Here is a 12,828-nt window from a genome sequence, read left to right as displayed (position 1 = left end):
CTTCAGAAACCCCACATATCTGCTCAGCTTCTGTCTCCCTTGAGATAATAAAAAAGAGAGAAGGCATTTGTATTGTAGGGATGCTTATATGTTTGGGCTAAGATGGGATGAAGAGTTCCTTGGGAGAGAGACATAAAGAAAGTTTAGCAGGATGCGATAAGCTATAAGCATTTCTTCCTTGAAACTCAATACCATATAGTTTAATGTGGCTATTTTAGATATACATTTTCTTGACTGGATTATTTAAATCTATGTTGTCCTCTTACATTCAAATAAACACCATTTGAATAAAAATACTAATGTAAAAAAATGAAGTCTTAATTGTTTTTCCACTGGGGAGGTCTCAGAAGTTATACAAAAGGATTACAGAAATATCATAAACAGGGACAAAAGATATACATATACATAAGAATATATGTATTATACATATACATAAGAATATATGTATTATACATATACATAAGAATATATGTATTATACATATACATAAGAATATATTATACATATACATAAGAATATATGTATTATACATATAAATATATATATATATATATACACATCTACAACCACTAAAGGACTTTAGTTATTTCCTTACTATATAAAAACCTCTTATCGTACATTCATCTCTTCAATTTATTCAGCACTAACTTGTGCTGGGCACCAGACAATGTTTAGGCCCTGGAGTCTCAGCAATGAACAAAGATAAAAAACGGTCCTCATGGAACTTACATTCTAATTGAGGGAAAGAGACATTCACTAAAAACAAATAAATAACATGTAACAATGTAAGTATTACTGGGAAAAATAGAGAAGAGGATGGAAGTACAAGGTGAGAAGAGGGAGTTGGAATTTTAAATGAGATGGTCATCACTGAGAAGATAATATCTGAGCAATTCTCAAAATGATGGTGAAGCAGATACTCAGTGGATATTTAGGGAAAGAATGTTCCAGGCAGGAAACACAGCCCAGGCAAGGGTGAAGTGGGAATGTGCCTACTGTTTATGAGGCACAGCACAGAGAATCAAAGGGAGGAAGCAGAGTGAGCTCATTGTTTTAATCCCCTGGTCATTTTGGGCTGGCTCCTGCCCTCTGAAAAAAGCCACAGCTCCTGTCACGTGGCTCTCTACACCTAGTATTCTGTCTTCAGATTCTGGTAATCGCTGCCTTCAGGCCTAGAGGTCACATTTTAACTAGTGCTGATATACGATCAATCCCCAGGTACCTGCACAGACCTCTGTAAATAGTCAAAATACCTCAATTTAAGTGTGCCATCTCGTTCCTGGCAATGCCCTAATTCAGAAATCTAGGGCAATAGTCCAGGTGGGAGACAGTGGTGGCTTGGACCAGGATATTAGCAGTGGACTGATAAGAAGCAGTTAAATTTTGACCTACTGACAGATTCAATGTCAAACACAGCTCCAGATTCTGGCCTAAACACTGAAAGGATGGAGTGCCATAAACTGAGATTCATTTTTTAAAAATCACAAATTAACAGAAAATATGTGCAAATATACTAAAAGTAGCTCACAGGAAAAGGGATACTGAAGGCTTACAAACAAATATGAAGACACTCAGTCTTACTGTTAATTAAAGAAATGCAAATTAACATAACAGATACTATCTCCTCCTATAAAACTGACGAAGATTTAAAAATATGCTAATAAATGAGGTTGCCATGGGTTTCAAAACACAACTGGAGGGGTGTAAACTTCTGTGAGGGAAAGTATACAATACCTAACAAAACTTTAAATATACATACATTTTGATCCAAAAATCTCCTTTATCATACAGATATATTCACATATTTGTACAAATACTTGTGTATAACCTTTTCACTACAGCAGTGTTCATAATAAAAGACTGGAAATAACCAAAGTATCCACTAGTAGAAAATATAATTTAAGCAAATTAAGTACACATATACAATAGAATAGTATCAGTGATTTACAAAAAATGAGGTAAATTCATATGCCGATAAGGAAATATCTACAAGAGATTTCTATTGTTAGAACGGTGCAGGGAGGCATCAGATTTTTGAGTTGCCTTTTTTTCAAGGATGCATACATATATAGAAGTAAGAAAATTCTAGAAGGATAAAAGAAATTGTTAAGAGTAATTGCCTCATGCTGGGCACAGTGGGCCAAACCTGTAGTCTCAGGACTTCAGGAGACTGAGGGGGGCAGACTGCTTGAGCCCAGATGTTTTGAGACCAGCCTGGGCAATATGGCAAAACCCCATCTCTTTAAAAAAAAAAATACATAAAAACTAGCCGGGCTGGTGGCACACCTCTGTAGTCCCAACTCCTCGTGGGGCTGAGGTGGGAAGATCACTTGAGTCTGGGAGGTGGAGGCTGCAATGAGCCATGATCACATCACTGCACTCCAGCCCGAGTGACAGAGCGAGACCCTATCTCAAAAAGAAAAAAAAAAAAAAGTGATTGCTTCTGAGAAGACTGATGTGAGTTGTATGTTTCATTGTACACCCTTTGAGACTCTTTAAAATTTGTTTTACCATGTGCAAATGTTATTTTCAATAAACAAAAAATTATCTGAAGCAATAAATTATCTTGCAATGCACAAAAACCTACAGTGTTAAGTACAGAAACATCTGAAGAGTTCGACCTATCAAAATCTAAACTGTGGTTTCCTTTTATTAGTTCTCATATTTTGTTAGACAATAAATGCCCTAAAACTATCATATTCTGAGTCACAGGTATTTCTCCATTTATGGTAAAATTGGGCCTTTTTACAAACTCTTGGAGTTTTCCAAGTATTAGCCATATATGGAAAAATACAACAACAGAGTTTAATGTAGATAATTTCAAATGGAAAAAAAAAACCCTGAAAACATGTGCATGTGATCTGGTTCCCATTAACAGCTGGCTTAATGACTAACAATCATTTTGGCACTGATCACAATGTCAAATGGAACAGTCCACATCATGATTCCTGTTTCACTGACATATTTCCCAGAATCAATATATTTTAGTACTGGCAGGAAATAACAATATGGAAAAAAGGATTAATTTTCTGCAGGTTTATCTTAAAGCACTCTGTCAAAGCCAGCAAATCAGAATCAATAAAAAATTTTGTAAGACTATTGTACTAGAAGAATGTCACACTATTTCCTTAAGGACTATCTAAGATTTCACAAATATATATAAATATACCAATATAAATGCGTACAGAATTCTGCATATTTTATTTCACTGGCAAAAATGTAAAGCTTATTTCTCATCTTACACATGCTATTTTTCTCCTTGCTACCACAATTCTGACACTGAAAATTATCCCTAAAATTCTCCTGTTATCAGAACCATAATATATAATTTTCCCAACAAAGTCTTGATAAATGTTTACGTCACCTAAGTCCACCTGAATGCAAAAGATTCCTCCACTGCTTTTTTTTTTTTTTTTTTTAAGATGGAGTCTCCCTCTGTCACCCAGGCTAGAGTGCAGTGGCGCAATCTCAGCTCACTGCAACCTCCACCTCCCAGGTTCAAGAGATTCTCCTGCCTCAGCCTCCTAAGTAGCTGGGATTACAGGCAGGCGCCACCACACCCAGCAAATTTTTGTATTTTTAGTAGAGATGGGGTTTCACCATGTTGGTCAGGCTGGTCCGGAACTCCTGACCTCGTGATCTGCCTGCCTCAGCCTCCCAAAGTGCTGGGATTACAGGCGTGAGCCACTATGCCCAGCCTCCTCAACTGCTTTTTATAGCACAGCCTAAGGCTTGGATATATTCATGATCAGAGATTTGATCTTCTACAATAGTGAGTCATGCTTCAATTTGGTTGACAGAGAAGCAGCAGAATGCCTTTCTGTGCCTATGAGCTCCCTATTCTCAGAAAAGGTACAAAAACATCCTAACAGGTTTACCCCAAATTTCTGTGGGTTGATATTATCAGTTTACGGCAGAAGACATCTGAACCAATGGAAACACAACGTACTTTTAATACTTTCATCTACCACAAAAATTGTAGGAAAAAATCATATAATAAATCGTTTGTCTTTATATAATTTTCCCTGTGAAGCTGAGGTGCTTATCTATATAATTGTATTAAATGGCTACATTTAAACTAAACCAATTGCAAAAAAAAAATCAAATGAAATCAATGAAAAGAAAATTGTGCATCAAAATTTACCTGTTGCATCAAATTCAATTGGCTGGCACCGGCGGGTAGAAGACCAGTCACATTTGAGGACCTGCCCTCCTTCCACAATCCCAGGCTGGGTGGTGTTTGCTTTGGGAGCTCCCACGAGAAGAAACATCCGGCTAAAATACAAAAGCGGCAGACCAAAGTTTAAATGAAACAAAGTGTAAGCAATATCTTCTGATTTATGAGGAGCAATCATTCTCTTGATATTATCTATAAATATTTTTTAAAACCATTTGCTATTCACTGAGGGCATAATCTTCATTATTCATTTGGTAGTCTCTTGCATGCATACATTATTTGATATAGTTTATTTTTCCTGATAACTTTATAAGGCAAGTTCAGGGTTACATTCATTTAGGAATTTATGCAGGTCAATCATACACTTTAAATATGTACAGTTTATTGTATGTCACATATCTCAGTAAAGCTCTTAAAAATGTATGCTGCCTAGAGGCAGGAAAGTTTTGTTTTGGTGTTCTGGTGTGTGTGTGTGTGCATGTGCGTGTGTGAGAGAATTACTATGCATTTTCTATATTCTGAATGTTGAGCAAAAAAAAAAATATTCTAAGTAAATTATTCCAAAGTATAATTATAAATATGATTTTCCCATTTAGAAAAATTATCTTGCATTAGAAATATTGCTGTAATTTTTATTTTATTCTATTTTTTTTTTTTAAGAGACACAGTTTTGCTTTGTCACCCAGGCTGGAGTGCAGTGGTACAATCATAACTCACTGCAACCTCCAACTCCTGGCTCAAGCGATCCTCCTACCTCAGCCTCCTGAGCAGGTAGAACTACAGGCATATGCCACCATGCTAAGCTAATTTTTTTTTTAAATTTTCTGTAGGGGTGGGGTCTCGCCACATTGCCTAGGCTTAATTTTTTTTAATAGTTGACTATTTAATAAAAAATTTCTTATCACAAGATTAATCTAATCAATTCTTGGTCAAAGATTAGGACCACTATTCAATTTCTTTGTCATTAAGGTAAAATAAACCAAAGACACAATAATCAGGAGTAAAATTTTTAATTTTAAAGAGATGTTTTCTTTTGTTGTTTTCTATTCATTCATAAAAGATATGAAGTGAGTGCTTCCTCTACATAAAGCAAGGTCCTAAGTGCTAGAGATACCAGATGACTAAAACAACCTTGGTTTCTGCCTTTTTTTTTTTTTTTGAGACAGAGTCTTGCTCTTGCCACCCAGGCTAGAATGCAATGGCATGATCTTGGCTCACTGTATCCTCCACCTCCCCAGTTCAAGCGATTCTCCTGCCTCAGTCTCCTGAGTAACTGTGATTACAGCCGCCCACCACCACGCCTGGCTAATTTTTATATTTTTAGTAGAGACAGGGTTTCACCATATTGGTCAGGCTGGTCTCTAACTCCTGACCTCAGGTGATCTGCCTGCCTTGGCCTCCCAAAGTGCTGGGATTACAGGCGTGAGCCACTGTGCTTGGCTGATTCCTGCTCTTAATGGAGGAATTTAGCTTACATTCCCTTAGAGGCAAGAAACTAGCCAATAAATAAATTACTATTACAAGTCCTACCAAGTAAGCAAACAATTAGCTGAGAGAGATTTTTGGGAATAGGGAGAGGAGACCTTCTTTAGACAGAGCAGTTATCTCTAAGGATGAGAGGGGAAAGATTTCCTCTAGGTAAAGGAAAGTCTCTCTAAGGAAATCATCTTTAAAGAATGGGGAAGAAAGTTCTCTTTTAGATAAAGTAGACAGAGAAGTTATTTCTAAGGAACTCACCACAACATTAAGATGTACAGGATCAGAAGGAGGGTGCCTAGGAGCATTTGTGTATTGAGGATGGAGGGGAGTGGGGGGTGGGGATGAGGGAAGTGGAATGAAGAGATGGAGGGAATATGTGAGGCAGAGGTAGAAAGACCCTGGCAAGAAAGAATTGAATCTCCAGGAGCTACAAAGAAAGGTATGGCTGAAGGAGGGGACAAGCCGGGAGTGGCACAAGATAAGGTCAAGGAGCCTGGCAATAACTAAGTCAAATAGGGCCTTTTGGCCATGGTTAAACTTTGTATTTTATCCCAAGGTTCATTTGAAGCCACTGAGTTTTTTAAGAAGAATGAAATCATCTACTAAAGAAAACTAAATGTTATGCCCTATGGGGAAAGCATTAAGGGAGAGGGAGAAAAAAATGGAACAAGGAAAGCAAAGGACTGGCCGCAGCTCAGGGAGCAGGTGAGTGTGATCTGCAGTAAGAGGGTGGGTGGAAAGATAGGTGACAGATGGAAAAAAACATCTGGAGTACAACAGCAATCGCTGGAGGCCTGAATATGAGAGAAAAGACATTCAAGAATGCCACCTAGATTTCCTTCTTGAGTGCATTGATGGGAGAAAAGCCTAGAGAGCAGAGAAGCAGAAGGCAGATTAAGTACTTACAGGAGTTCAAGACTAGCCTAGGCAACATAGTAAGACCCCCATCTCTACAAAGAATAAAACAATTCACTGGGTGTGGTGGCATGCGCCTGTGGTCCCAACTTTGGGGGTGGAGCTGGGGTCCTGAGACAGGAGGATGGCTTGAGCCCAGGAGGTTGAGGCTGCAGTGAGCTGTGATTACAAGTGCTACAAAGTAAGCAAACAGCCTGGGTGAAACAATGAGTCCCTGTCTCAAGAAATAAAATAAAATTAGTATTTACAGAAAAACCATGAATTCAATTATTAATATGTTTGTTTGAGATATCTGTGAGTCATCCAGTTGTAGTCTGAAGCCCTGCCTGAGACAGTATGCTGTATCAGAACACAGTTGGGGTTATTCAGCCAGGGGAAGCGTCGAAAGAGGAGGGGCAATGAGTGAGTTCTCAGGGACAACAACATTTAGGAGTCAAGAAGAGAAAGAAGATAAAGTAAAAAAGATTTTTGTCTTTAATCTCAAGAAACTGATTGAAATATAGGAGGAAATAAAGCAGGATACAGGCAGACAAAAACAGTCCTAAAATGCTATCACCATAATCATTTTGTTTCATTAAATACTAAGTCACTTAAATTATTCTGGCAAAGGAAACATTTACAATTGCTTTTCACCTTTTTGTGAAATTAGAACGAATGTACATCTTAAATATGGAATGCATTCACTTGAACTTTTAAAATCAATTTCTTATTCTGGGTAGTAGCTGCCAAATCTCATCTACAGTAGACAAAAGCTGGCTGTACGAATTGCAGGGTTACAAAGAATCCTGCTTTCTGACACTTATCTTAAAAATCCACAAATTCAAAATAAAGACGTAACTCCCAACCAAACCACGCCCTATTTAATAGAGCTCCATGCAGTCATATCTGGCATCAGTAAAACACCAATGTTGGCTCTCTCCCATCACGGCAAAATGATTCTGGGTAGAAAATGAACTTAGTTTTCATTCAGCAAAAGTCTTTCATAAGAAAAAAAGAGGTTGGGCACAGTGGCTCATGCCTGCAATCCCAACACTTTGGGCGGCTGAGGCAGACAGATCACTTGAGGTCAGGAGTTTGAGACCAACATGGCAAAACCCCATCTCTACTAAAAATATAAAAATTAGCCAGGCGTGGTGGCATGAGCCTGTAATCCCAGCTACTCGGGAGGCTGAGGCAGGAGAATCACTTGAACCTGGGAGGTGGAGATTGCAGTGAGCCAAGATTGCGCCACTGCAGTCCAGCCTGGGCAACAGAGGAAAACTCTGTCTCAAAAAAAAAAAAAAAAAAATGCTATGAGTAAGAGAGTCCCCACCTCCCATAACTAAGAGAGCAGCTCGTCATCAAAACCCCATCGGTTCTTTTTCTAGAGCAGAGTTGGTTAACACAGTGAAACTCTGTGTGTGTGTGTGTGTGTGTGTGTGTGTGTGTGTATAAATTATAATATGTAAATTTATTACATATACAATTTTTTTTCTACGGGTCTAAAATTTGACCCCAAAATCACACAACTACCCCTTTTCATCAGAATTAAATGATTTTTGAGTGCATACTAGAACAAAAGAACAGTTCAGGTAAGTTTGCTTTTGAGGGTCAATATCTTGAATAGTGCTTGCTTGGGACATTGCCACAGTAGTCCTAATGAGAGTAATACAAGCACAGGTATGTACACGTTCTTAGTGTTGTAGATCATACCAGGTTCTACATCAGGATAGGAGAACTGGTTCTCAAGCTTTGCCTGGAAACCTACAAGCAAAAATCACTTCTGGGTTGTCTTCAAATAGTAGCTCACAGCAGTGGTCCCCAACCTTTCCTTCCCTGGACATAGAGGGGGATGCTTTCGGGATGAAACTGTCCAACTCGGATCACCAGGTATTAGGTTCTCATAAGAAGCATGTAACCTAGATCCCTTGCATGCACACTTCACAGCAGGGTTCACACAATAGGGTTTGCTCCTATGAGAATCTAATGCCACCACTGATCTGACAGGAGGCAGAGCTCAGGTGGTAATGCTCACTCTCCTGCTGCTCACTTCCTGATGTGCAGCATGGTCCCTAACAGGCTATGGACTGGTACTGGTCCATGGCCCGAGGGTTGGGGACCCCTGTCTTACAATATATTTTATAACTTTTTGGTCAAAACTATTCTGCCTACCTTATGATAAATTGCTTCTTTGAATGTAGGGTACTCTAATTCATCTTTTGCACCTGCCACATTATAAGAACTCAAGAAAAGTTTAAATGGACAGTGGAGTAACAAAGTAAATTCAATAGCTATGTCTCAATCTTAAAGTAGCCATATATAAATAAGTCATTTCCACTACGTCTGAACCCCTCAAGAATGCAGAAAGCATCCTCTATTAAACATCCAATTATTTAAATTACCCTTAAAACAATTTCCTTGTGTAACATCTCTACTTAATTTTGGGTTTCAGATACTTTCTTTACTTGGCACTATAAGACAGAGAGAGCTCGGAAGTTATTAGGAGAAGGCCTTCAACAAAGACAGAGAAAAAGAGCCCAGTAGGAGCATTCTCTGAATGAAAACACCACTCTATTGGCAGCACATAGCATGAGTTCCTTGAATAATACCAGGAACAAGCCTGTTGCTTTTCATCAGGCTATCTGCACATTATAGGCATGAAATGATGGTAATCAGGTGTACAAATGGATGTTCATTAAGTTTTCCTAAGCATACCTTCATGTGCAGACTTGCATACTGGTGAAATGCTACAGAAATGGCAGAATAATATAAAAGGAATGTGTCAATATCTACATGCTAAATTTGTGAGGGAAAAAAGCTGATGAAGTTTTTCATCCAAAATGCCATCTCGATATTAAAGTTATCATTAAGATATTTAAGTTTTTTAAAGAGAACAATGAAGAGATAGAGAAAGTAAAATGACCTTAGACATATGTTAAAGTCTTACGAGGAAGCTGTGTAGTGAAAAAGAAATACTTGCATAGAAAACTGGGTACAAGGTGATAAAAGATGCTATATAAAAAAATTAAGGAATAAAAAGCAACACAGGCCAGGCACGGTGGCTCATGCCTGTAATCCTAGCACTTTGGGAGGCCAAGGCAGGAGGATCACTTAAGGTCAGGGGTTCAAAACCAGCCTGGCCAACATGGTGAAACCCCATCTCTACTAAAAATACAAAAGTTAGCCAGAAATTGCTTGAATCCAGGAGGCGAAGGTTGCAGCAAGCCAAGATTGTGCCACTGCACTCTAGCCTGGGCAACAGAGCAAGACTCCATCTCAAAAAAAAAAAAAAAGCAACACATACTACAAAAAACAAAGTTAATAAAACACTCCATAAAAATAATTGTTACTTGAATTTCATCTAAGAATGACTAATGAAAGTGTACAACAGCTTAATTAGGGTAAGAGAACTGACAGACCAGAAAAAAAATGTTTGTGATCTAAGCAGCACTATCTAATGGAAACAGTTTGGAATTAAAATTTACAAACACTGCAAATCAATTGAAGCAGTAACTTTGAATCTCTGTTCCCTTCTATCGAATGGCAATAACAATGCCCACTGTAATTACTTTAAAAAGAAACTTTCTGAAGGTGATAATAAATAAATGCAAACTTAGAAAATCTGAAACACCACGAAAATACAAGATGATGGGATTTAATTATCATCTTCGTCCTGAAAACAATTGATGCCATTAATAAGTTATTCCCTAGAAGAGTAGAAAATGTAAAACTTAAATTCTGTCTTTAAAAGGGCTTTTCTTTCCTCAGTGTTTTCAAAGGGCCATTAATGGTCAAGTGATTAACTCAAATGAAGAAGAAAAAGAGAAAGAAGGGTAGAAAAGCCAGCTTAAACATTTCTTATCAATGGTGGCGAGGTGGGGAGAATACACAGGGTGAGGTAAGGTTGACAAGAGTTTTCACTGATTAGCAGTGTAAATCTGAAGCTGAGTGACTTAATTTCCTATGCCCGCAACTCTCTCCTGATAGACTCCATTTCCCTCCAAAAAGTATGTCCAAGAACATCATCAGAATCCCCATCCTCAACATTTTTTTTTTTAATGACTGGAAACACTGCCATTAAATAACTCTCTGGGACTTCAAAATTAAGGTTTACATCCATGCCAAGAAGTGCTAAAATATAAAGGATTGAGTTTGGGAGAGAGGACAGAAAGATGGATGGAAAGGAAGAAAAGAGATAGAGGAAAGGAAAAAGAGAGGAAGGACAAGAGACAGAAAAAGAAAAAAGAGAGAGCGATACAGAGGGAGAGGTATCAGAGGAGGCAGTGAGAGGGAGACAGACAAGAGGCTCAGAGGAACCAATCAGGAGGATGGCCTTTGGATGCACTCCCTATCCAAACTGTACTTGAAGGGCAGTTGATTCACGGAATGTGACCTTGACAACCAAGGAGGGGCAACCTGCCAAACAATGACAAGTCCATTTTTCAAACCCTCCAAATAAACTAACTTGTTTGTCTGCTTTCAGCACTGACCTTTCTAAGATAAAGCATGTTTAATATATTTAGCTGACTCTGAGTTGACCAATGAGCCTTCACCAAAAGGAACTTCTGAAAAACTATCATACATGTATATAGAAATAAATGTGTATGAAATAGTACTGAATGTTATTTCAAAGCTACAATTCCAGTTTCAGATTTACTTTTCATTTTTTAAAAAATGCTTTTTTGAATCAAAAGAAAAACAAAAATGCCAGTCAACAACTACTGTAAAACAGAAGCAGTAACTACAATTTCCACATATTTTCCCTTGTCTTTCATAATGCTCTATGAAACATCATATGTCCTTAATCAGAAGTAATATAGGATTTGCTTTCTAAATAACAAAATTATAGCCTAGTTTTATGTCCCCTAATATACATGTATATTATTTATGATGAGAAAAATCAGCCAATATAATCAGAGCTACTCTGAAGTTTATAAAAAATGAGCTGGCATCATTTTGTAAAGTGTTGTGAAAAGGGTTAAAATGGTAAGAGTAGAAATGGTACATGAAGTTTTAAAAATACACACAGGTTGGGACAGATTGCAAGTGACCTTAATCCATGTTAAGCGGTTTGGACTTTCTTGCTGGCAATGGAAGCTTTATTATGAAAATTTTTGCAACAGAATACCAGGATGAAAAAGGATGTTACAGAAAGATAAAATGAATAGAAACAGACAAGATGTTCTGCACGTTTAAGAGCCAAATGATGGGCAGAGGGATGGGGGAGGACCTGAGTGCCACTGACTATGCTTGTCATAACTACACTGAAATAAGGAGTAGAAAGCAGAGATGGAATCAAGAAAACCTTAAAAAGGAAGAATTTCTAGGAGCTTCTGCCTGTTGACTAATCACTGACTGATATTAAGGTGGTGAAGTAGGAGAAACACAGAAAAATAGAACATGAGAGGGAGGAATATGAAAGTATTTCCAAGGTGACAGAGAAAATGATGCCAGCATTAATAGAAACAGAGGTGCAACTAACATCTCTTGGTGAAGACTTTTTAGTCAAATTGAGTTAAGACAGGCTAGTCAACGAGAAATGATTCACAGGCCAGGCCACTGGAATATCAAGTCAGAGATCTACTTTTAGATTTAAGATACAGCCAGGGCAAGAGTTTTATTTAAAAGGCTTTCCAGATATTGCAAACATGAAGTTAGGACTGAGAACCATTGAAGGACCTTCTGCTTCTAAGGCATACACATCTACACATTGCCAACTGTAAGATAAGGCTCCATTAGCGTTTAATGGGGGGAAAGGCAAGAATCCAGTGTCATTCATTATAGCATTATTTTAAAATAAAGAAATACATAAAATGAGAACTGTATAACATATATTTGAAGAATGAATTTTAAAATTGTTCAGTTATTTTCTTTAAAAATTCAATATTTGAATTAATAAAAGTGGGATTTGAATTTTACACCCTGTCTTCGGATCCTTCCCTTCCTTACCCTCTACTCACACCAACCTACTCAAATAACTAGACTGCAAACGGTTCTGCCTCCATTTCCTCCTCATCTGTAAGAATGAGTATATCTGCTTCCCCTTACTTCCCCCCGGTGGTGTGGGCTATAGAATGAAATGAGATATAAGTGCTTAGCAAATTATAAAATATGTTTACCAAAATAAGATGTCATCATTATAATTAAACCTAGGATGTAATTTTTAATTTTTCCAATTAGTCTCCACAAGAAAAGTATGACTCTAATTATTAGCCTGCATACAATCTTTAAATTTTATGTAAGTTTTACAACATAGCATAAATAAATGCTTATAGAAA

General features: G+C 37.6%; 1 protein-coding gene across 3 annotated transcripts in view, besides 1 other annotated feature; it reads right to left on the bottom strand.

Moving 5' to 3' along the window:
* Positions 1–12,828, bottom strand: part of ITGAV (integrin subunit alpha V) — a 90,846-nt gene that overhangs the window by 74,606 nt on the left and 3,412 nt on the right. For 2 of the 3 annotated variants that reach the window (NM_002210.5, NM_001145000.3), the window contains exon 2: positions 4,145–4,275. In NM_002210.5, coding sequence (NP_002201.2) covers positions 4,145–4,275 — 131 coding nt within the window. Of the gene's footprint in view, positions 1–4,144; positions 4,276–5,914; positions 6,092–12,828 lie in introns of those variants that run through there. The other variant, NM_001144999.3, reaches the window with a different exon arrangement.
* Positions 10,820–11,114: a silencer, noted in NCBI's record as "tiled region #6200; HepG2 Repressive DNase unmatched - State 5:Enh". NCBI's record gives its function as "represses a minimal TATA promoter and a strong SV40 promoter by Sharpr-MPRA in HepG2 cells {active_cell/tissue: HepG2}" and the evidence as "EXISTENCE:reporter gene assay evidence [ECO:0000049][PMID:27701403]".

Source organism: Homo sapiens, chromosome 2 (genome assembly GCF_000001405.40).
Source record: "Homo sapiens chromosome 2, GRCh38.p14 Primary Assembly".
Lineage (NCBI taxonomy): Eukaryota > Metazoa > Chordata > Mammalia > Primates > Hominidae > Homo > Homo sapiens.
Note: the sequence above shows the minus strand (reverse complement) of the source record. Positions and strands in the feature narration are given on the sequence as shown.